This window comes from Homo sapiens, chromosome 9 (genome assembly GCF_000001405.40).
Source record: "Homo sapiens chromosome 9, GRCh38.p14 Primary Assembly".
Taxonomy (NCBI): domain Eukaryota; kingdom Metazoa; phylum Chordata; class Mammalia; order Primates; family Hominidae; genus Homo; species Homo sapiens.
The window spans coordinates 83240328-83266676 of NC_000009.12; the positions used below are offsets into that span (position 1 = coordinate 83240328).

The 26349-nt window shown below is 39.1% G+C and overlaps 1 protein-coding gene and 1 long non-coding RNA gene across 14 annotated transcripts in view; one reads left to right on the forward strand and one right to left on the reverse strand.

Annotated features, from left to right (window-relative positions):
• FRMD3-AS1 (FRMD3 antisense RNA 1) overlaps positions 1-26349 on the forward strand; it is a 51489-nt gene that overhangs the window by 20983 nt on the left and 4157 nt on the right. The window lies entirely within an intron of this gene.
• Positions 2665-26349, reverse strand: part of FRMD3 (FERM domain containing 3) — a 342803-nt gene continuing 319118 nt past the window's right edge. For 10 of the 13 annotated variants that reach the window (XM_024447487.2, XM_047423155.1, XM_017014588.2 and 7 more), the window contains one exon: positions 4295-8189. In XM_024447487.2, the coding sequence (XP_024303255.1) occupies positions 7591-8189 (599 nt within the window). In that variant the 3' untranslated portion in view covers positions 4295-7590. Of the gene's footprint in view, positions 2889-4294; positions 8190-26349 lie in introns of those variants that run through there. The other 3 variants (NM_001244959.2, NM_001244961.2, NM_001244962.2) reach the window with 1 other exon arrangement.

Genomic DNA, 26349 nt, shown 5'->3' on the forward strand with positions numbered 1-26349 from the left:
ATTTTAATACTGTCTTTTTACCTTGGTTAATCTAGCTAAAGGCTTGTTCATTTTATTGGCATTTTTCATTTTAAAGAACGAACTTTTGGTTTTATAGATTTTACCTATTGTTTTTCTATTCTCTTAATCCCCAATGTAACAAAATTGAGAGGTGGAACCTTTAAAATGTGATTTGGTCCTGAGGGCTCTGTTCTCAGGAATATAATCATGTTGTTATCAAAGGAGTGGTTTCCTGATAAAAAGATGATTTTGGCCCTGTTCCCTTCTCTGTCTCTCATCTGTGTGATGCCTTCAACCATGCTATGATGCAGCAAGAAGGCCCTCAACAGATGTGTCCCCTCAATATTGAACTTCCCATTTGATCATAGTATATAATCCTTCCCACGTGTTTCTGGATTCAGTTTGCTGAGTTCAGCCTCTGGAACCATGAGCCAATAAATTTCTGTTCTTTATACATTACCCAGTCTCAGGTATTCTGTTATAGCAACGCAAAACGGACTAAGACAAGTAAGTGCTCTGCTCCACAGAGTCATTCAAGGTTCTAAGTTTCTGGCAGCTTTGACATCCTCGACTGGGAGCTTAAAGGTCACTTTAAGTGTGGACATTTAGTGACAGATGGAGGCTGACAACTAGCCAAAGGCTTGGAAGCAATATAATTACTTATTCAAATTCTATTGGCCAAGACTCAGGGATATAGCCACATTGAACTAAATAGGGTAGGGGAGAACTAGGAAATGTAGTCTAATCTTATGGCAGGAAGAAGAGGAAATGGTTTTGATGATTAGCTGCCAGCCTCTGCCATAAGAAATTTGCAAAAGTGGGGGATTTGGAGTAAAATGTGTACAATGTATCTCCGGGCCTCTTGAGACAGGCAGAGATGTGGGAACATCTGGCCTGTTGGGGCAGACTTTCTGAAAGGCAGCTTTTTAGGTGTGATTCCTTGTACTCATTGATAGTGTTTGGTTTACATTACAGCTTATGTTCTGGGAAGAGTGTGTATGGAACATTTGGCTTCAAACAAATGCCCAGAAAACTGACACTTCTCATTATAAATGATCAAGTTGGCTTTCTGTGAAACTAAGTCTTCAGTGTATTTAGTGTGAGTCAGTTGCTCACAGTTAAACTGATCGTTAGTGTTCTGAATGTGCAGATCATAAATGTTAAATTGAGCAGTATGAACGTAAAAACAGCATTGAGATTATTCTGTCTTCCTACCTCACATTAAACAAGAAATTAAGTAATATTAATGGTAAACAAATTGAGTCCGGGCACAGTGGCTCATGCCTATAATCCCAGCACTTTGAGAGGCCGAGGTGGGCGGCTCACTTGAGGTCAGGAGTTGGAGACCAGCCTGGCCAGCATGGTGAAATCCCCGTCTACTAAAAATACTAAAATTAGCTGGGCATGGTGGCGCACGCCTGTAATCCTAGCTACTGGGGAGGCTGAGGCATGAGAATCGCTTGAACTGGGGAGGCGGAGGTTGCAGTGAGCCAAGATCACACCAATGCACTCCAGCCTGGAGAACAGAGTGAGACACTGTCTCAAAAAACAAACAAACAACAACAACAAACAAACAAATTGGGTATGTAGCATTAATGCCAGAAGGTCACATAAAATGATCTTCTCTGTAATTTATACTCTCACATCAAAACACGATGTAATGAATTTTGGTGAATTTTAATCTGACTCTTGATGGGAAGTAGAACAACTATAGAGCAACAATTCTTCCCTATTTTATTTTGTCAACACTATAGAGAAACATACTGCAGGAGTTTTTGAGAGAAGGCATCTAGTTAATCAGGCAAAGTCTTACAGGTCGAGTGCCTGGAACAGTCCTAGTAACACCTGTTGCTATGACATCATCATTAAAAACATCCCCTTTTACTCCCAAAGGAGTTCAGGTTTGAATGATAAATTATATGGTAACCCTATGAGCTGGGAGCAGTGCCTTTGTGTGGCCACCCCTCTTCAGGGTCTGGTTCACAACCTTGCAGAACCAGAAAATCAGGGTGTTAGGAAACTCAGGCTGATTGAGGAGAGGATGGGAGTTGATTCAAACCAAGGAAATTCCAAGAGACGGATGCTTAAATCAGAACACTAACTTCCTAACTTATGAAGAATGTAGCTGCCAAGGGAAGTAGAAACTAATGTTAGTTTGTGTGTTCTCACCCTTGAAGGGTGGTCTCCGTGGAAAGACAATGATCATAATCATAAGTCTGTGGGTGAGAGGAATCAGGCAATGGGTGTTTTTTCTGGAGAAGCTGCTGGAATTTGCAAGCCATGTTTCAGTACTTGGTACCCAAAGAAAGCATACTTTTGTCCTACTAAGAGTTTTCCTTTATAACATTGAAAATGGCCTCAGTTCCCTTTCCAGAGAGAAATTTGGAATAAGCATCAACTAAAGGTAAAGAATAGGGATGTGTGATTCCAACCAACCTTCTGTTCTTTACTGATAATAACGGATAAGCTCTCTCACCCATTGGCAAGAACTCTCAGGGCTGATGTCAGTGGCAGACCATCCCCTGATGCCTGAGGTTCAGCCAGGAGCATCCTTCTCCACTCTCTCCTTGCTTGTAACATTGGAGGTTGCCGAGATCCAAAATATTCACCACCATCCCTGCCGCCACCCCAGTTCCCAGTAGATAATAGATACAATGGCCAGGAGAGGGTTAAAAGCAGCTTTATTAATGGATTGGAGAGCACAGCTGGGATCTGAGGCCTAAGCAAGGTTCCTTTCTTCTTCTGTGAAGTGACGGCTGCCGAGCCCACTGGGTGGGGCCCACCGAACTTACCCACCCAGTCACAGACGGAGGCTGGAACATGGAGAGCCAAGTCTTGGCTGAGCTCACCACGGGCAGGTTCTGCTGGGTCTGTTTACTGCATGGAGACTGGAAGCCCAGATGCAGGTCCAAGAGAAAAGGAGAGAGGGAGAGAGAAAAGAAGCAGGAGGACAAGTAAGCAGCGACCTTCAGCACATTGTCTCCACCCTGTAGAGAGTGGCCCAGAGGGACTCAAGCCCTGTCAACCACAACCATCCCAGAAGTCACCCCAGGGGTGGAAGACTCTCCCCAGTACTTTTTCTCCAGGGTGGGAATGTTGGTGGGAGAGTCTTCCTCTATTTGGCTAAGGAGAAAATGTAGGAATAAAGCAAGAGTTTCCTCCAGGCAGTGACAATGGGTCAGGAGTTCAATGAACTGCTCAGTGAGTAAGTGGCCAACCGCCATTTTGTGTGAGCCTTTTGGGTCAGCAGACACTAACCCAAAGGCACTGGCTTGAGATGCTGGAGTCAGAACTATAGGTCCGTAAGCTTCCTCACATCTGAATGCTAATCACTGAATTCCTTTTCTTGCCTGTAGTCTAGAGCCTGTACTTCTAAGGACTGCTGAATAAGGCATGAGGCCACCATAGCTAAGGGCCAATTCTGCTTGACTTCTATTGTATTCCTGCAATTAAGAGAACTCCCCTACCCCTTTTGTTTCATTCCAAGTAACACCTTTTGGTTTAACTGTTAGGTATGGAGTTGTTAGCTTTGCGCCAAACCTAAGCAGAAGACCTGTCAAGGCTACGCTGGGCAGAGGGGAGGATAGAAGTGGAATCATGACCAGCCTGACCAACACGGAGGAACCCAACCTCTACTGAAAATACAAAAAATTAGCTGGATGTGGTGGTGCATGCCTGTAATTCCAGCTACTCAGGAAGCTGAGGCAGGAGAATTGCTTGAACCCAGGAGGAGGAGGTTGCGGTGAGCCGTGATCGTGCCATTGCACTCCAGCCTGGGCAACAAGAGCAAAACTCCATCATCATCTCAAAAAAAAAAAAGTGGAATCGTGAGATTCCTCCAAGGTGCGTGAACAGATAGAGAAGTTTAATGGCAAGTGTCACAGAGTTGAGTCTCATGCAGCTCTCTCTGGCGTGGGAAGGCACCCTTTTCTGGCCAGTGATGATAACATATTAATTTCTAGCACTCTGAAATCCATGCTCCTATCTGTCAGTCAGAATACCCCTCTTCTATTATTTTTTCTGTGCTTTTCTATTTCTCTGGTTAACTTAATATCATGAATTAGATCAAGGTTTATTTTATGTTTGAGCATATTTTCAGTGCTAGTATTCCTGCTTTGGGCCTGGATGACTTCTGCAAAGGGTTAATCTAATCTATTACCTGGGATTTTTTTTTTTAATACTATCACCATTATATGTTGACCTCATTTCATGGTCCTAGAGGGAATCCTTTTATAGTTTCCAACAACCTGACTATACAACTTTACTTTAAATAAAACTGAATGATTGCAAAAAATTTTACCCCAGAGTATTTTTATTAGGGATTCCTGCCACCATATTAACATATAAAACAATCTGGATGTTGACATAGAAATGCAAATTTCACTATACAAAGGTAAGGCTCCAATCACAGTAACATGGCCCCCATATCTCTAGTATTTCAATGAAATAAACTCATTGTGAATTCACCCCGAGTTGTGTTTATAAATATTAGACAAACCACAAAATATATTCCAAATACATAACATTTTACAATATTTTTCAAGCACAGACAAATACATACTTTACTTTACCTACATTGTTTTCATGATCCAACTTGCATTAGCACTAAAGGCAATATTGTGTGTGTATATGTATTTGCCATATGTGTGTGTGTATTATATATATTTATTTATATCCACAAATGTACACTCAGTGGCATTTATGGAAAATTTAACCCTTTCAGGCTGTGGGTTTTACCCACCATAGTATCTGAGAGGGAGAAGAACCAATAATACATCTCAAATTCCTCAATTAGGGCAAAATAAGCACAATTATGCATGAGGGGCATATATGTTGTGTCTATTCAAAGACACACATATATACAGATTCATATATAAACACACATATACCAATAATATGGAATATACATATACTCACACACTTGCTTTAAACTCTATATCTCACTCTATAATATACTGTCCATCTCTGGAAGCAGGCTTTTCCTCATTCGATTCAGGCAACTGGTGACTATCTTCTAACAAAACTTAAATGGATGTTTCTAAAAGGCTCTGATTCTATGCCGAGCAAATGGCATTTCAAGATTCCAGTTTAACTTTTGATGGCTGTTTAAATTCAGCAGACCCTATTCTGTCAACTTCTTCACTTAAAAACATTTCTATTCAACAATGAAGTTTCCACCTAAGAGAAAAGAGATGTTAGCTGGAAATGTTAAAATAATATATTTATTACTCCTTAAGATAAATCTGCATCGTTGGATTACATGTGATATTTATACTATCATATTTTTTAAGTATTTTACAATGGAAAATATATTAGTTCCATAATTTAAAAAATATTATATAATATTATTTTGAAAGACTGAGGGCCAGATGATTTGTCATAGTCAGAACTTTAGAGAAAATTATATGACGCATGATCAGAAGGGGACTAATTTTGTGCAGACTACACTAAAGTTGCCTTATGTCAGAAAGGATGACTTAGAAGTCGTATGAGAAAAGAAGGAGAAAAACACAAATTTCAATTTCAAACCTAGCCATCTGCAAGCTTCCAAAATAAATTGTTGAGGATTCCAATCACAGAAAATATATTCCTAAATCAGTATCAACTTTCAGGTAATAAACAAACAATCTTTATTTAAAAAGCAAAATAAATCACTGAAAGCATATAGGAAAGGAAACCCCTCAAACTTAATGGCAAATATATAGTCATTTGCTCGACTGCAGGCTTCACGAACTGAGTTTCAAAACTCATTTCCAAAATTAAATGTCCAGTGAAGTACTCAGAGCTCCACTGAGTGAGTGGAAATGTATTGCCCAATTTAGAAATCATGCTAATGATAGGGTTGGAATGTCATTAGCTAGAGAGAGCGATTCCAAGTGGGCCCTGTAACTTTGTACATTAGGGCAGTGGAATGTTTTCAATCCACAGAGAAGCTCTATGCTCCATGGCATAAGTTCTAGACTCTTATCTTTCTCCCACATAACACAGTATCAGCAGGTAGTCTGCATGGGAAGGCATCAGTACGTTGCTGATGGTACAATGCTCTAGTACCTTCCTTGATACCATTAAATTGTTGGATTAAATCCTTTCCATCATGGATTTAATGGTATCAAGGAAGGTACTAGAGCACTGGTCCCCTCTACAGTCTGGTTAGGGTCATGTCACTACTTTACCCAGGCTGAACTGGTATGTCATCTCATGAGGCCTCTCCAGTTTCTCTATGGAAGTCAAATTTTAAAACAACTGGGAAAGGAAAGGAGTATAATGACCACCGCAAAACATGATCATGGACATGTATCAAAAAGCCATTCATATTCTCTCTCTCTCTCTCTCTCTCTCTCTCACACACACACACACGCACACTCACATACAAACACATTTTTGAAGTTTCTTCTACAGAATCACAACAAATGGCATGAGGGATCAAAATATTTACCTTAAAGTTTCTCCACTTTTATTTAGATCCACTTAAACATGTTCATGTTAACTCAGACAGCGACTGCACTGCTCTTCACATCATCGAACGCTGGCATCACCATCACTTTCATAAAATAGACCATTCGCCTGTCACCATTTGCCTGCCAGCCTCACCAGAACTCATTTTTGCCACTTTCCATTTCTCCAGTTCCTATCTGCCTTCACTCTTGGGTTAATGTACATTGATATGCAACTGACTAGCACATCTGTTACCTTTTTTCCTTTAAACTCTCACTTTCTTTTTAAAACATCTGCTTCTCCAGCCAAAATATACGGACAGAATACAAATGAAAATAACAAGTCCTCTTGTCCAAATACTTTGAAAAATGGACCACCCTGAGTCCACTTGATGCTCTCAGTTTCTACATCCTCCAGTTCCATCCTCTGTTTTAGCAGCTTACTTACTATAGTGTCTTTCTACCCATTTTCTATCTCCTATGCAGATCATAACAAATTATGGTATTGTTCAGCCAAAAATATTTTTAAAAACAAAGTAGCGCCAAAACATTAAAAAAATTCTGATATACCTTTTGTGCATTAGTCTTACAATCTGTACATGTAAATAACTCCAGGAGGCTTCTTTTTTTTTTTTGCTAAAAATTTACCAAAATAGTTTGAACACATAAAAATATTTTTAAAAAAACAGAACCAAAAACCCAGCATAAATTTAGTTGTATAGGCATTGGTTAGAGGACACTGTTTTCACTAAGGATTATATTCAACAACTTTCTCTTGAGTTGTTACTAAAATTCTGATTCTGAACCTTATAGCTTATAATGGTGCCAACTATTAGAAATGGGAAAATCTAATTCAGTCCAATGTAACATGTATTATGATATAATAGATGAAGGGTATGTCTACACTATAATAAAAAATAAACATATTTTTGGTTATTTAAAGACCATCTTCCTAACCTGTAACTAAAATAACTGTATTTGATTTAAACTTATTTAAGTGCAGTGAATTATGGAAAGCTAACTTAAAGGTTTGAATAATCAATTATGAGTAAGGAACACCTGTTGACAGCCCCGTGACCCTTCAGAACCAGGCATTTGCTGAAAAAAAGAAATCACTAGCATTGAATATAGCCCTTAGTCACGTGAGAGATTAACTTCATGAGCAACCCAGCATGTAGAGGATGAGGTGGACTTTCCCAGCCACCCACTCCTTGAGGGGACAGTAGTATTCATAGTGAAACTGCTCAAACTCTGGTGTCTGGCGGATTTCGCATAAGAAGGAGAGATCAATACCTGACTCCAAAAGGAGGAGGAGCAGGGGAAATACAAAGAGCAGCAGTCCCAGGCCCACCACAAGGAGCCTGGAAAAACTCTTGACCAGTGGGTTCACCCGAATATGGCCAGTCAGAATGTCATAGCTCCACGACAAAGCACGGCGAGCCTCCTTCAGCTCCTCTTCTTCAGCAATCAAAAAGGCGTTTTCATCTGCTTCCAGATCCTCAAATGAATCTGTGTCTTCTCTTTCCAACTCAAGCCTAGAAGGACAGTCAAAGAGCATGTCAATCTCATCGTCATCCACAGGGGTGGGGAGCAGGCTGGCACTTGGGTTGTACACTAGTTCAGAGATGGTTAAAGGTTCTTCTTTTATTTTATCTTCCTCTTCACTAGGGGGATCTTCATACTCCCGGGCTGCCTTCACTGGGGAGCTGGAGATCAAGGGAGCAGAAATGTTCTCCTCTTTAGGCAATGGAACACCTGTAAAGAGACATTTTTTTTTCTAAATTTAAAATTTCAGATTTTCCCACAAAAATCTGCAGGAAGAAACAGAAAAACAAAAAACTAATGGGATTCAAGCAATCTATGAAATTATTCTGTGGTATCCTAAGTTGTAACAAAGTCGTATTATAGTAAAAGACCCTGTACCATAAGTTCAAAGGTCAACATGCTAAACTCAAACTAACCAACACTTCTCAAATGGTTGGCAATATTTACAACATTTAGGTGTGCAATTTTGATCTGCAAACCTTGAACCTTGGCCATGTTTGCTTGAATAAAATGACAATAAATTCACTATTATAATTATGAGCACTGTTTTTTTAGAGGTCAACAATATCACCCGATATATTATAGTAAAACAACAGAATCTGTCATTCAATGACAATCTCTTTATTATTCTGATGTATTGCTTTCTAGTCTTCATTCTAGACACAATTTTGTGTTCTAGTTTTATATATTTGCAATCATATTATATACCCAAGCTTAAATCATGCTCCTTGCATTTAAAATTTTAACATAAATATTTTCTATGTTTAAACAAATTCCCATTGGTATTATTTATAAAAGCTGCCAAATTTTTTATTTAGTTATGCAATAAATTAGTTGCCTATTGTCAAACATTTAGATTGCTTTGCAGTTGTAAGGAGAAAATGCTATGAGACATCTTTACATATAAAGCTTTTTTTCCCCTCTTGTTTTAGTTCATTTGCTATAGATAGATGCTAGAAGGGAAATTGCTTAATCAAAGGGTAAGAACTTTTTCTAATGTTTATTGAGAGAGAGGTGTTTCTCAATGCCTCATTTTACTGATGGGAAATCGAGTTACCTATGGTCAGACCTAGGGCTAACTCTGCTAATTTTGAGTCTTGGATCCATAGTGGGAAATAAAGTTAGCATCAAAGAAGTGTCCTCCAGGATGGATCTACCATACAATCAAAATGGCAGCCAGGTGCATTTCGGGAACCATAAACCAGCTTTTAATGAATCTATTATGTGATTTTTCTCTCTTCAAGGTGTACAGGCATAACTTACTGGTTTTAGCATTCAAAAATCAACAGATATTTCATGATAGCTCTAGTCTGATAGCACTGAGAAGTCCAAATGAAAAATACCATAAAAATACAAGAAATATACAAAAGGTCAACAAGCACATGAAAGTATGCTGAACATCATTAATCATTAGGGAAATGCAAGTCAAAACCACAATAAGATGCTACTTTATGCCTACTCAGATGGCAACAGCTTTTTTAAAAACTGAAAATAACAAGTGTTGGTGAGGATGTGAAGACATTAGAACCCTGCATATTGCCAGTGAAACTATAATTGGTTCTGGCCATTGTGAGAAAAAAATTGACAGTTCCTCAAAAAATCAAACATAAAGTTATCAGATGACCCAGCAATACCACTCCCAGGTACATACTCCAAAGACTTAAAAACAGGTACTCAGAACGCTGGAACCCAAGCTGGCCAATTAGAGGCAGCTGTGGTCTGCAGCACTCATGGAGATGAATAAAAAGGGGCTAGTAAATGCAGCACCTTCAAACTGAGATACCCAGGTTCTCGCATTGGGACTGACTGGGCAAACAACTCAACCCACAGAGAATAAAGAAAAGCAGAAGAGGGGGTGATGGCCCACCTGGAAGATGCACAGAAGCAAAGGAGACCCCACCCCGACCCCCAGCCAAGTGCAGTGTTGAGTGATTGTGTGACCCCACCCAGGAAACCACACTTCTCCTTTGGATCTTTGCAACCTGCGGATCAGGAGATGCCCTTATGAGCCCAGGCCACCAGGGCCTTGGGTCTGATACACAGAGCTGTGTGGAGTCTCGGCAGAGCAGCCACTCAGGCACACACAGAGACCCAGGAGTTTTACATACTCTGGCCCCAGGATCCCTGGCAAGGCAGGAAATCTATCTGTACATATCCCTAGGAAGGTGGTTGAATCCAGGGACCCAGGTAGCCTCATTCTGTGGGCCCCACTTCCATGGCACCTCACAAGTTAAGACCCACTGGCTTGGAATCCCAGCCAGCTAATGGCAGTAGGTTGGAGTCTGCTTGAGGTGGGTCTAAGTTCCTGGGGAAAGGGATGGCTACCATCTATGCAGCTTAGTTGACTCAGTTGCTCCAGCCTGCTGGCTGTGGAGAACAGAGATAGACCAGAAGAGGAAGGGTACCCCACAATGTAGCACAGCTGTCTTGCCAGATTGTGGCTGGACAGCTTTCTTAAGTGGGACCCCAATCCATTTCTCCTCACTGGATAGGACTTCCTTGTGGGGGCTTCACCCATTCCAGCCAGGGTTCTACAGACAGAGCTTTGATCTCTCCCTGAGATGGAGCTCCCAGGGGAAGGGGCAGCCACCATTTCTGTGGTTTGGTCCACTCAGCTGTTCCAGTCTGCCTGCTTTGGAAACAGAGGCAGTGTGAATGAGAAAGGATCCTGGCCAATGCAGCACACATGCTCTACCAAAAAGAGGTCAGACTGCTTCTTTGGGTGGGTCTGTGAGCCCAGTCCTACTGACTGAGTGGGAACTCACAACAGGTGGTCTCCAGCCACCTCCTACAGGTGCATGCAGGCCAGCAACAAGTCAGTACACCCCTGGGATGGAGCTTCCAGTGGAAGAAGCTGGCTGCCATCTTTGCTGTTTCATAGCCTTCACTGGTGATACCTACAGGGATAGAAGAAACTAAGGCAACTGGAGTCTGAAGCACAGCACCAGCAAACTGCAGCAGCCCTAGAGTAGAGTGGCCTGACTGTTAAAAGAAAAACAAACAAACAGAAAACAACAACATCAACAAAAAAGACCCCACAAAAACTTCATTCAAAGGTCAGCAACCATAAAGATCGAAGATAGATAAGCCCACAAAGATGAAAACAATCAATGCAAAAACACTGAAAACTGAAAAAACCATAATGCCTCTTCTCATCCAAATGACCACAATATCTCTCTAGCAAGGGCACAGAACTGGGCTAAGGCTGAGATGGATGAATTGACAGAAGTAGGCTTCAGAAGGTGGGTAATAACGAACATCACTGAGCTAAAGGAGTATGTTCTAACCCAATGCAAAGAAGGTAAGACTCACAATGATACAATACAGGGGCTGATAGCCAGAATAGCCAGGTTAGAGAGGAACATAATGGACCTGATGGAGCTGAAAAACACAACACGAGAACTTCACAATGAAATCACAAGTATCAGTAGCAGAATAGACCAAGTTGAGCAAAGAATCTTAGAGCTTGAAGACTATCTTTCTGAAATAAGACAGGCAGACAAGAATAGAGTAAAAGGAATAAAAAATAATGAACAAAACCTCTGAGAAATATGCGATTATGTGAAGAGCCTGAACCTATCCCTGATTCTGACTGAGGTAACTGAAAGATACAGGAAGAATGGAACCAAGTTAGAAAATATACTTCAGGATATCATCCAGGAGAACTTCCCCAACCTAGCAAGACCTGCCACCATTCAAACTCAGGAAATGCAGAGAACCCCAGTACATTACTCCACAAGAAGATCATCCCCAAGACATATAATCATCAGATTCTCCAAGTTCGAAATGAAAGAAGAAATGTTAAGGGCAACCAGAGAGAAAGGCCAGGTCATCTACAAAGGGAAACTCATCAGACTAACAGCAGCTCAGCAGAAACCCTACAAGCAAGAAGAGATTGGGGGCCAATATTCAACATTCTTAAAGAAAAGAACTTCCAACCCAGAATTTCATCTTTGGCCAAACTAAGCTTCATAAGTGAAGGAAAAACAAGATTCTTTTTAGAAAAGCAAATGCTGAGGGAATTTGTCACCACTGTACCAGCCTTGCAAGAGCTCCTGAAGGAAGTACTAAATATGGAAAGGAAAAACCATTTCCAGCCACTACAAAAACACACTGAACTACACAGACTGGTGATACTGTGAACCAACCATATAAACAAGTCTGCAAAATAACCAACTAGCATCATGACAGGATCAAATTCACACATAACAATACTAACCTTAAATGTAAATGGGCTAAATGCCCCAAGTAAAAGAAACTGAATGGCAAACTGGGAAAAGAGCCAAGACCCATCAATATGCTGTCTTCAAGAGACCCATCTCACGTGCAAAGACACACATAGGCTCAAAATAAAGGGATGAAGGAAAATGTACCAAGCAAATGGAAAACAGAAAAAAAGCAGGGGTTGCAATCCTAGATTCTGACAAAACAGACTTTAAACCAACAAAGATCAAAAAAGACAAAGGAGGTCATTACATAATGATAGAGTTCAACAGGAAGAGCTAACTATCCTAAATATATATGCACCCAATACAGGAGCACCCAGATTCATAAAGCAAGTGCTTTATGAGACCTACAAAAGCAAGTGCTTAGAGACTTAGACTCTACACAATAATAGTGGGAGACTTTAACACTCCACTGACAATATTAGATAGATCATGGAGAAAGAAAATTAACAAAGATATTCAGGACCTGAACTCAGCTCCAGATCAAGTGGACATGGTAGATATCTACAGAAATCTCCACCTAAATTAAAAAGAAGATATATTCTTATTGCCACATGAGACTTACTCTAAAATTGATCACATAATTGGAAGTAAAACACTCTCCAAGAAATGCAAAAGAACTGAAATCGTAACAGTCTGTCAGCCCACAGTGCAATCAAATTAAAACTCAAGATTAAGAAATTCATTCAAAACCACACAACTACATGGAAATTGAACAACCTGTTACTGAATGACTCTTGGGTAAATAATAAAATTAAGGCAGAAATCAAGAAGTTCTTTGAAACTAATGAGAACAAAGAGACAATGTACCAGAATCTCTGGGATACAGCTAAAACAGCATTAAGCAGGAAATTTATAATGCCCACATCAAAAAGCTAGAAAGATCTCAAAAACAAACAACCCCATCAAAAAGTGGGCAAAAGATATGAACAGACACTTCTCAAAAGAAGACATTAATGCAGCCAACAGACACATGAAAAAATGCTCATCGTCACTGGCCATCAGAGAAATGCAAATCAAAACCACAATGAGATACCATCTCACACCAGTTAGAATGGCGATCATTAAAAAGTCAGGAAACAACAGGTGCTGGAGAGGATGTGGAGAAATAGGAACACTTTGACACTGTTGGTGGGACTGTAAGCTAATTCAACCATTGTGGAAGACAGTGTGGCAATTCCTCAAGGATCTAGAACTAGAAATACCATTTGACCCAGCCATCCCATTATTGGGTATATACCCAAAGGATTATAAATCATGCTGCTATAAAGACACATGCATACATATGTTTATTGTGGCACTATTCACACTGGCAAAGACTTGGAACCAACCCAAATGTCCATCAATGATAGACTGGATTAAGAAAATGTGGCACATATACACCATGGAATACTATGCAGCCATAAAAAATGATGAGTTCATGTCCTTTGTAGGGACATGGATGAAGCCGGAAACCATCATTCTCAGCAAACTATCACAAGGACAAAAAACCAAACACCACATGTTCTCACTCATAGGTGGGAATTGAACAATGAGAACACTTGAACACAGGAAGGGGAACATCACACACTGGGGCCTGTCATGGGGTAGGGGGAAGGGGGAGGGATAGCATTAGGAGATATACCTAATGTAAATGACAAGTTAATGGGTGCAGTACACCAACATGGCACATGTATACATATGTAACAAACCTGCATGTTGTGCACACGTACCCTAGAACTTAAAGTATGATAATAAAAAAAATAATAAAAGAAACTTTCAAAAACAACTGAGAGGAATCACTGGTTTTTAATATATTTTTAATATTTTAAAAATATTTCAAATTTATAATAAAGTTGTAAGAATTGCACAATAAAATTCCAAATACCTTTCACTTACAAAAACAAAAAACAAAAAGCTAGAAAGATCTCAAGTTAACAAGGTAACATCTCAACTAAAAGAACTAGAGAACCAAGTGCAAACAAACCCCAAAGCTAGCAGAAGACAAGAAATAACCAAGATCAGAGAGAAGTGAAGGAGATAGAGGCATAAAAAAAAAAATTCAAAAAGTCAATGAATCTAGACGCTGAATTTTAGAAAAAAATAAACTAGATAGACTAGCTAGACTAATAAAGAAAAAATAGAAGAGTCAAATAAACACAATCTGAAATGGTAAGGGGGATATCACCACTGACCCCACAGAAATACAAACAACCATCAGAAAATACTACAAATACCTCTATGCACATGAACTAGAAAATCTAGAAGAAATGGATAAATTCCTGGACACATACACCTTCCCAAGACAGAACAGAGAGAAACTGAATATCTGAATAGATCAATAATGGTTCTGAAATTGAGGCTGTAATAAATAGCCTACCAATATAAAAAAGCCCAGGACAAGACAGATTCAGAACTGAAACTGAATTCTACCAGAGGTACAAAGAAAAGCTGGTACCATTTATACTGAAAGTATTCCTAAAAGATGAAAAGGAAGGACTTTTACCTAACTCATTTTATGAGGGCAGCATCATCCTATACCGAAACCTGGCAGAGATACAACGAAAAAAGTAAACTTCGGGCCAATATCCTTGATGAACATTGATGCAAAACTCCTCAATAAAATACTGGCAAACTGAATCCAGCAGCATATCGAAAGGCTTATCCACCACAGTCAAGTTGGTTTCATTCCCAGGATGCAAGGTTGGTTCAACATACACAAATCAATAACTGTAATTCATCACATAAACAGAGCTACAGACAAAAGACACATGATTATCTCAATATATGCAGTAAAGGCCTCCAATAAAATTCAACTTCCCTTCATGTTAAAAACTCTCAATAAACTAAGTAATGAAGGAACATACCTCAAAATGATAAGAGCCATATGTGATAAACCCACAGCCACTATCATACTAAATAGGCAAAAGCTGGAAGCATTCCCCCTGAAAACCAGCACAAGACAAGGATGCCCTCTTTCACCACTCCCATTTGACAGAGTATTGGAAGTTCTGGCCAGCGCAATCAGGCAAGAGAAAGAAATAAAGCGTATTCAAGTATGAAGAGAGGAAGTCAAATTATCTTTATTTGACATGATTCTATATCTAGAAAACCCCATCGTCTCAGCCCCAAATCTCCTTAAGCTGATAAGCAACTTCAGCAAAGTCTCAGGATATAAAATCAATGTGCAAAAATAGCTAGCATTCCTATACACCAACAACAGGCAAGCAGAGAACCAAATCGTGAATAACCTCCCATTCAAAATTGCTGCAAAAAGAATAAAATACCTTGAAATACAGCTAACAAGGGAAGTGAAGGACCTCTTCAAGGAGAACTACAAACCACTGCTCAAAGAAATCAGAGATGACACAAATGGAAAAACATTCCATGCTCACGGATAGGACGACTCAATATTGTGAAAATGGCCATACTGCCCAAAGTAATTTAGAGATTTAATGCTATTCCCATTGAACTACCATTCAGATTCTTCACAGAATTAAACAAAAATATTTTAAAATTCGTATGGAACCAAAAAGAGCCCAAATAACCAAGACAATCCTAAGCAAAAAGAACAAAGCTGGAGGCATCATGCTACCTGACTTCAAACTATACTACAAGGCTACAGTAACCAAAACAGCATAGTAATGGTATAAAAACAGACACATAGACCAATGGAACAGAATAGAGAATTCAGAAATAAGACTGCACACCAACAACCACCTGATCTTCAAAAAACTTGACAAAAACAAGCAATGAGGAAAGGACTCCCTATTTGATAAATGGTGCTGGAAGTGCTGGCTAGACATATGCAGAAAATTGGAATGGACCCCTTCCTTACACCATGTACAAAAACTAACTTAAGATGGATTAAAGACTTAAATGTAAAACCCAAAACTATAAAAACCCTAGAAGAAAATCTAGGCAACACCATCCAGGACATAGGCATGGGCAAAGATTTCATGACGAAAATGCCAAAAGCTATTGCAACGAAAGCAAAAATTGACAAATGGGATCTAATTAAACTAAAGAGCACAGCAAAAGAAACCATCATCAGAGCAAACAGATAACCTAAAAAATGGGAGAAAATTTTTGCAATCTATCCATCTGACAAAGGTCTAATGTCCACAGTCTACAAGGAACTTAAACAAATTTATCAGGGGAAAAAAAAACCCATTAAAAAGTGGGCAAAGGATATAAACAGACACTTCTCAAAAGAAGACATGCATGTGGCCAACAAACATATGAAAAAAAAAGCTCAACATCCCTGATCATTAGAGAAATGCAAATCAAAACCACAATGAGATATGAGATATCATCTCACACCAGCCAGAATGGTTATCATTAAAATGTCAAAAAATGACAAATGCTGTCAAGGTTGCAGAGAAAAAGGAGCACTTTTACACTGTTGGTGGGAAGGTAAATTGGTTCAACTATTGTGGAAGACAGTGTGGCGATTCCTTAAAGACCTGGAGGCAGAAATACTGTTTGACCCAGCAATCTCATTACTGGGTTTATACCCAAAGGAATATAAATCATTCTATTATAAAGATACATGCATGCATATGTTCACTGCAGCACCATTCATAATAGCAAAGACATGGAATCAAACTAAATGCCCATCCCTGATAGGCTGGATAAAGAAAATGTGGTACATATATACCATGGAATACTATGCAGCCATAAAAAGGAACGAGATCATGTCCTTTGCAGGGACATGGATGGAGTTGGAAGTCATTATCCTCAGCAAACTAATGCAGAAACAGAAAACCAAACACTGCATGTTCTCACTTAAAAGTCGGAGCTGAATGATGAGAACACATGGACATATTGGGAGGAACAACACACACTGGGGCCTGTCGGCAGGGGGTTGGGGGAGGAAGAACATCAGGAGGAATGGATGCTGAGCCCTAGGTGATGGGATGACCTGTGTAGCAAACCACCATGGCACACGTTTACCTATGTAACAAACCTGCACATCCTGCACACGTACCCTTGAAATTAAAAGTTGAGGGGGAAAAAAAATCTTGAGTGTAAATTGTAAAACACAAGCCTTGCAAGTATTTTGAAATTAAAATGTCTTCTTTTTATATTTTCTGGTTGCTAATTCTGTATAAATTAATTAAAGCCAAACTTCTCTCTTTCTCTAAAAAAAAAAGGAATTTCCAAAGACACCAAAATACTAAATTAGTAAGATTGTCTACACTGCTTCACTAAATTTAATTTACTTCATCCACATCTGAGAAGCCTCCTGAATATATTCAGAAAGCTCAGTTAATAAGTTTAATAATTTTTTGTTTTAGAAGTGAAATGACAATGATTTAGAAAAAGGAAATTGCTTTCAAATTTATATAATTACACAGCCCAATTAAAATAGATAATAGCTATAAAGTTTCTCACCCATAGAAAACACTCAATAATGTTAACTAATATTACCTTTTAGTGTAGCAATATAACTATGTTTTTATACCATTGTTGGCATTATTTAATTTGAAGAAATACTGTATAAAATGAAACTGCAATAATCAAAAAATACTGATGGAAAAGACTGCCCGTTGATGACAGAGTGCCTGCCATGTACAGTCAAGCAGGTTGGACACTGCTCATTCCCATCTGCACCACTCATGAAAACCCCAATACAACAGCATGCCCTAAAGATATGTCAGGCATCACAACACAACCTACTCAGCAGCTACTGATAGATGCTATTACTAGAAAAGCTGTTCTTCATCTCATTACTGAAGCAAAATATAGAGACCTTTTCAGTGCACAGTAAAATTAATTGTAACTGAAAATGGAAGGAGCAGCACTCACATTCACATTCAGAAACCAGCCTCTCTGTTAACTCTGAGCATATTTGCAACAGAATCCAAATGCTACAGCTGAGGTTTCCAGCAACTTGTACGTGCACAAAACAGCTAAAGAGCCTGGCTAACAGCCCTTGTCTAGTTTGCCTGTGGGTGATGATCTCTAATGATGGAAGCAATGCAATATTGGGCGTCAGCAGAACAAATGCCTTAAAATGAGGATACTAATGACACTTAACTATCTCACAAGGCTGTGGAAAGGATCGAACTGAGAGAAAGCACTTTGGGGACAATATGGTGACATCAGAATATAATGAATCATCTGCAATTTGCACTTAACTTTGCTAACCTCCTAAGTAAAGACTGGAGTCTGGGTGCCTTGGAGTAACTCTAAACCCACATGGCAATGTCTTTCCTATGTGAAATCTGCCACTGTCATTGCTGTCATCTGGCTGAAAACAAACTGGTTCACTTTGCAGCAGACATTTCTTCAGCCTTACTTCCTGCTCTCTCCCCCGTGAGCATGAAGCCTATCTTCAGGCTAGGAGGCTTTGGTGGGTGGCATCATTAGGAACCACCATACTAGTTCCCTTGGAGGCACCCTGAGACAGCCCATGCTGGCATCCAACTATGGAATGCCCATTAAAACAACTATGGAATACCCATTAAACCTCCAGAGCAGTGGTATAAAGAAAGCACCACCATTCAGCTGGGAGGAAGGTGTTTTAGAACATAATAGAGGCTTTTATAGATGCCACAATGATTGGAGGGGCTAGTGTCATTTGATGGGTAGGGGTCGGGGATGCCAGACATGCTGAAATGTGTAGGAGAATTTCACAAAATGAAGAATTATTTTGTATACCACACAACTTTCAAATGTCAGATATCAGATATTATCCATACAGATGGAACACCTATTTATAATGATCTGTTTTACATTTAAACAAAAAGCATTTGGGGTGTAATTTTAACATATTTTAAGTTTTTCAGGAATACAACCTCTGGGTAAATTCAGGGAAGATCTTTGCTGAGGATTTAGCAGTTCAGAATATCACATCATCATCAGGGATGCTAAGGAGTTGAGTTGCCTACCTCATGGCACATGTCACCACCCTGCGTCTGTTGGGTGGTTCCCTTGATGCCCATTTTCCCCTTATTCAAAGTATCTCACACTTTGATTCTGCCTTCTAGTGAGTCATGCTTGAGAAAAACCTTTGGAAATTCTTATTATAAATAATTTTCTCCTAATTTCTCCTTATATTACAGTTAGAGCATTATTTTGACTTAGTTAAGTGTAGGTAGACTGTGTTTTCTAAAAGTTACACCTCAGGATGGTAGCGAGAACATTACAAGGTTTTTGTTTTTTAGGGGGACACTGGACCTGAAAGTATGACAACCACAGCTCAAGCACATGTGAAACTGTCAGGTCTCTATAGATGTCTCATAGTTGTTACTAACCAGACCCATTCCTCCTGAGGTGGGCTAAACTGAGTGATCTAATGTTGATCATCTTGGCAATACTTGCTCTGGGAGGCATGCTGTACTCTTGAATTCAGGGTAAAAAGGAGAAAGGTGAAGGAAGAGTGGGAGAGGAAAAAAGAGCAGATCACCACTCCACTTCTGGAAAATATGATGGAGTGAAAAGAGCAGTGGCCTAAGACACCTGGACTCAGGTTCCCAGCTAAGCCACGGCTATCTGAACAACATTAGGCATGCCACTTCAGTTCTATAGTCTTGGACTTTTTACCTGCAAAATGGACCAGACCCTCCCCAGTCCAGCATTCTGTGGCTCCATCTTAGACTATGTCTGTCCATAAACTGTCCTACTTAAAGTTATATGTAGAAAGAGAAAAGGAGACAGGGGCACTAAGATTTTTAATAAATGTCTACTCGGCTGGATACTTTAAATATATGAGCATGTGATATTCATAAGTCATGAGAAAAATGAGGCATAGGCAAGTTAAGGTCACAAAATTAGGAAGCAACAGAGCGGAGGTTTGTATCCATGCCTGTCTGATTCCAAAGCCCATGCTTTCTCCAAACTTACCATGTTGGCTGAAGAGAAGGAGATCTGAGAAGCCCAGAGAGACTCTCACTTCTTAACTAAGGGGGAAGAAGCTTCTCTGTTACTGGCCCCATTTCATCTGCTGAACCCATGGTGTCCTTACATGTAGGGTGCCCATTCATCCCCATTTGCCTGGAACAGTCCCACTCTATGTCTGTCATAGTGTCAGTATGGCAGTATTGTTAAAATTCCCTTTTCACTCTCAAATAAATTTTATGATAACTTAATTATAAGTAAGCTCTCCTGTGATGGTATCATAGCCACGATAGAAGCCACACACATACACAAAAACCACTGGCTGTTGCGGGACTTAATGACTTAGGTTAGAAATAAAATAAACTTTATTACTATACTCTCTACATGTTCTATCAGTCCCTCAAATGTTTTCTATTCACAATAAGCAGCATGCAGACTTCTAAAATTTAGTAAGATAGTATACCATTAACCTCACATGTGACTCCTTTATCGCTCCTTTTTGGAGGATAAAGTTTAATACTTCAAGCGAAACTCCTGTCCCATGGGTTTAAAGAAAAATCCTAAGAATGACATTTACTTTTCCAGATGAGAGTTTTTACTTTCAGCAATGGACACTGCAGAAGATCTAATACTACAAATGTTCCTGGTGCCTCTGAATATCTTTGGGAGTCACCAATTCATTCTATTAAAAACCTATGAAGAGTCATTCCAGTGACTCAGGAAAGTATCCACAAAAGGAAACTTAGACACACACACACACACACACACACACACACACACACACAGCAGATCCTAATACTCTCCCATCGCTGCTCCCCAGCTGAAATCTGGAACACTGCCTCTCATGTAAACATCTTCTCCTGGGACTCAGGGCTGCCAGCATAGGCTGGCATTCTTCTTGTTCTTCTTTCCCCATCCTTAGGCTTCATCCTTGCAGACTAAACTCTCTCTTCTCCAAGTAGCCATCATTTGCCAGCCTCTTGGTTATGCCTCTACTTTTGCTGACCATCTTGACACCATGGTCAGTTGCTCTCCCCACCTGCTGAAATGGCTCTCACAAAGTCTCCAATGATCACCATATTGCTAAAGCCAATGAGTGTTTTCTTCTGTCCTCCTACAGATCACTCAACCTCTGAGGTTCCATACTCTCTTGGTTTCCATCCAATGATTCTAAGCTACCTCTGTCTTCACAGTCTCTTCACTACTTGTGAGGGCCTAAACTCTCTGCTCTTCTTGCTCTGTACCCTCTTTCTTGGTGTTTCAACCATATTTATGGCTCCAATATGCTACTACAGTATTGTTCAACCTGGTACTACAGGTCACCAGTGTCCCTTAAGGTTCTGCCAGCTGTCCCTTGAAAAGAGTGTTCCATGGTCAGCTAAGTTTGGGAAACTGCACACTCTATCACTCTTTTGGATATTACCATCAAGGTTAAAAATCCAAACTCTGAAGTCACCTTTCTGGGTTCGAATCCTGGCTTTGTACTAATTGCCACCGACAGTTTCTTAATTACCTAATTGTGCTATTCCCAGTTTCCTCATCTGTAAAATGGGGAAAATTTCAGCACATACTGCATGCAGATATTGTGTGGAGAGGAATACCTGAGTTAATACATGCAAAGTGCCTGACACTGGTAAGCACTCAATAATATTACTACTAGTATATAAAAATGTCTGCAAGGTCCTGAATAGAAGAAATCAGTTTCATGTAACTCAATATTTCTCAAATTAATTCTCCCAGAGAACATAGAACACAACTTAGTTTGGAAAATCCATGTTGCTGAATCTCTGGTCTATCTCAACTCAGAACCCTCCAATGAGATTTACCAGGCAACTGTACATAGGAACATCGACTTCAATACATCCAAACCCAAATGCATCATCTCCCTCCCAACTCTTTACCTCCAATAACACACACTATGTAGTAAATGACACCATATTTTCTTCAGTTTCTTATATCAGCAATCCAAGGATTGGCCAAAATTACTTGTTTTCATGCACTGCTCACATCTGTCATTAACTTCTGCAAACTCTGCCACCTTCTTCATTTTCAAAGTTATCCCTGCCTCTCCATTCTTATCACTTCTTAACTGGATGATAGCAATGGCTTCCTAACTGGTTTCCTTGATTTCAGTCCAGCTTATTGTAAGTTGTTTCCAGAATAATCATTTTTAAATGCCTAATTATTTATATCAGTCCTCTTCTTAAAAGGTTTCTCAGCCTTTCAGGTTAAATATTAAATTAAACTCTTTAGCCTGGTACAAAAAGCATTACTCTACCACATACGCTTCCTCCCTGCCCACCTATTGAGGGGTTCCCATATGTGTCATGCTATGTCATGCCTCTGTGTCTTTGCACAGACTGCTACTTCTTCCTGGAATGTCCTCTGCACCCAGATAGCTCTTACTCATCCTCTAAGACCCTATGTGTTATGTCCTCTGGGAAGGCTCTCCTATCCCCCACTCCCGGACTGAGATATATGCTACTTATCTGGTACTTTTCATGGTTGACTCCTTATGGCCCATTTCTCTCCAAATGATTAGTCTAAGCCAGTCGTGGTAATTCCAGTCTCTTGGTCACATTTGGTTTTAAAACGGGCATATGGGCCAACCCTGAAAATAAAAATCAAAGGGGAAGAGGGGAGGGGGCCTGAGGGGATGGATTTTTGAGAAAGGTTTTTACTTCTAAGAAGATCATCCTGGAATGGTACAGACTCCTTATCTGTTGACATTGTTGTAACTGAAAGAAACAGCAGAAACTGGCAGCCGTCCTATGGTGCTGACAGCAACGGCATGAGGGGAAGCTTGGCTGACTGAGAAGAGTGATGTAGAGATAAAATGAAACTGGTCCTCAACCCTGGAATCCTCTCTGACTCTGGACTTGTCTTGGATAATAAATCACCTTATTATTTAAACCAGTGCTAATTAGAATTCCTCATTACTTGCTGATGATGGCATCCTAAGTGATGCAGCTGTCATACCATCTTCTGGATCTCTTTATCTTCACAGTCAGTCATTACACTGTGCTGCAGATTTATTATGGGTTTTTCCACTAAAATTTTATCTCCTGAAAGGAAGGGACTTGAAATATCTACTAGAGAATTGTAGAAATCATTACATGTCATGGCAAACATTATATAATAGCAAAACGTTGGAAGAATTCCCACCAAAGTCAGGAACATTACAAAGAATTATCACCACACATCAGTATTGGCCCTAGCTAATGCAATATGATGAAGACAAAAAATAAGAAGTGTAAATATTGGAAAGTAAGGCACAAAACTCTAGTTCCAGATAATAGAATTATCTACATAGAAAAGAGATGAAAATGAAACAGGACAATTAATAAGAGTTTAAAAAGGTGTTGGAATGCAAGATCAACATATTAAAGCAGGTGGTTTACTGCATACAGAAGAGACAATATAAAAAATGATAATGGAAAGTATCATTCAAAATAGCCAAATGCACAAATTAAAACATCCATATATATCCAGGAATATCCATAACAAGAAGCCTGGAAAACTTGCATGAGGACAATGTTAAAATATAACAAAGTAGCATAAAAGAAAATCTCAATAAATAGAAAAACATAATATTGTTCCTGAATAGTGGCCTTGATACATTGAAAATTCAGCTCTCCTCTCATTAATCTAAAATTTGATGCAATTTCAATAGAAAATCCAACACACTTTCAAAAAAGACAAATGGTAAATGTACACATTAATAATCAAAAACTTCTGGAAAATAAATCAGTGAGCACATCCAGACAATGGAATATTATTCAGTGCTAAGAAATGCCATGAAAAGCTATAGAGGAAGCTTATATGCATATTATTCAGTGAAAGAAGCCAGTCTGAAAAGACTGCATATTGTATGATTCCAACTAATTGACATTCTGAAAAAGGCAAAATTATGAATATCATAAAAAGACCAGTGGTTGCCAGGAATTAGGGGAAGAGAGAGAGAAATAGGTGGAACACAGAACTTTTAGGGCAGTCAAACTATTATGTATGATACAACAGGGGTAGATACATGCCATTAAACATTTGTCCAAACCCACAGAATGTACACCACCAAGGTGAACCCTAACGCAAACGATCAACTTTGAATAGTCATGATGTCTCAATGCAGGCTCATCAAGTGTAACAAATGTACTTCTCTTGTGTGGGATGTTGATGATGGGGGAGGCTGAGCATGTGTGAGGGAAATTCCCCATATGTGGAAAATTTCTATGCCTTCCTTTTAATTTTACTGTGAACCTAAAAATCATTCTAAAAGTATAACTTCCTTTGAAAAAAAGCAATGCAGGGGAAACCTGACCTACCTGATATTAAAACTATACTGTATAGTAATGGAGCAGGAATAATAAAAGATATAATTCAGAAATATACCCTTTAATATAATGGAAAATTTGTTTATGAAAAAGTTTTGCAAAAAGTTGCTAACCAATTGTGGGGGGAGGGGGGAAGGTATATCCCTATACCATGTCATGCACGTGTAAAAATTCCTAAGAAGATAAAGGGTTAAACTAAAAAAAAAATTAGATACCACGTGAAATTGCCAATTTTGAAGGTCATAAGCAGTTATTATCAGCAATTTCATAGAGTTCAAGTAAATGCATTAATTATGAAGAATAAAAACAGGAAACACTTTTATAATCTTGGCATGGGGAAAACTAACATAAAAACAGAAACCTAAAATATACAGAAAGCAAATAGTTTGCACATACAGAAGTTCTCTGTGCATATAAAAAGTGCCCGTGTCGGCCAGGTGCGGTGGCTCATGCCTGTAATCCCAGTACTATAGGAGGCCAAGACGGGCGGATCACGAGGTCAGGAGATTGGGATCATCCTGGCTAACACGGTGAAACCCCGTCTCTACTAAAAATACAAAAAATTAGCCGGGCGTGGTGGCAGGCGCCTGTAATATCAGCTACTCGGGAGGCTGAGGCAGGAGAATGGTGTGAACCCGGGAGGTGGAGCTTGCAGTGAGCCGAGATGGTGCCACTGCACTCCAGCCTGGGCAACAGAGCGAGACTCTTAAAAAAAAAAAAAAAAAAAAAAAAGTGCCTGTGTCATAAAGTTAACATTAAATAAAAGTTGAAAGCCAAGAACCAATTAGGAGAGAAAACATTAACATTTGTAAAATATAAAGGATTAATATTCACATTATAAAAGAAATACTACAATCTATAAGGAAAGGACAAAAACACAATAGAAATGTACTAAGTAAACAAATAGGCAGTTCTGCAAAGAAGAAATGAAAATACACAATTATTTGAAAAGATCCTCATCTTCACTGATAAAAAGGGATATGCAAATTAAAACAATGAAATCTCATTTTCCTTTCAACCATTTTGCAAAACTTTTAAGAAACTGGCCATATCAGGGTGAGTGATTATGTGGGGGAATAGTCAAGCTCATACTCACCTTGTTAGAATTTGCTTTTAGAGGATAATTTGCCCATTTCCATTAAAAGTTACAATTCGTATATCCTTCAACCCAACAATTATACTTTGAAGCATCTATTAAAGAGAAATGCCTCTGTATACATATGCATTGCAGTACCATCTGTTACAGCCAAAAAACGAGCCATAACCATTTCCAACAATAATTTGGTAATTAAATAACTGAGTTATGATATCTTTATATTACCTAATATTATCCAGCCATTTATAAAAAGGATGTATATTAATATGTATGGATATGGAAAGTCCTTCAAGTCATATGATAAAGTAAGAAAACTAATTCTGCAATAATATATCTTGAACAATCCCATTTATAAAAAAAAAAAATCCTATATCCCATGTGGCAGTATTCATAGATCAACTATTGGGAGTATTAACGGAAAGCATCTATATATTTGTTCTTTTAAAAACTCTTTTATACAAGAACACATCATGTATTATGTCATTATACAAATATAATCAATTTCGTCTCAATTCACTTAGAAGTCAGTTTCACACATGTGCATGAGATATAGCCAATTACAGACATTTTCCAGGTTGTATTTTGTGTTAATCAATTGGTAAAAACCACATTTATACATATAGCCACAGCTTCTTTCTTGCTGTAAGCTCTAACTTTTTAAGTTCCTATTTCAATTCCTATTTCCCTCAAGGACCATAAAATAACAAAATATATTTACAATGAAAAGGAAATTGGCAGAAGGTCAGTTCCAATTCTTTGGCCAATATTTTGAGTAAAGCTCTGCCTTGAGGATAAAAGTGGTGCTCCGCCTCACCCCAGCAAGCAAGCAGATCTGAGCTCTGACCCTTTCAACAATGAAAGGAGGGGGAGCGTGTTGTGATCATCCATTCTGC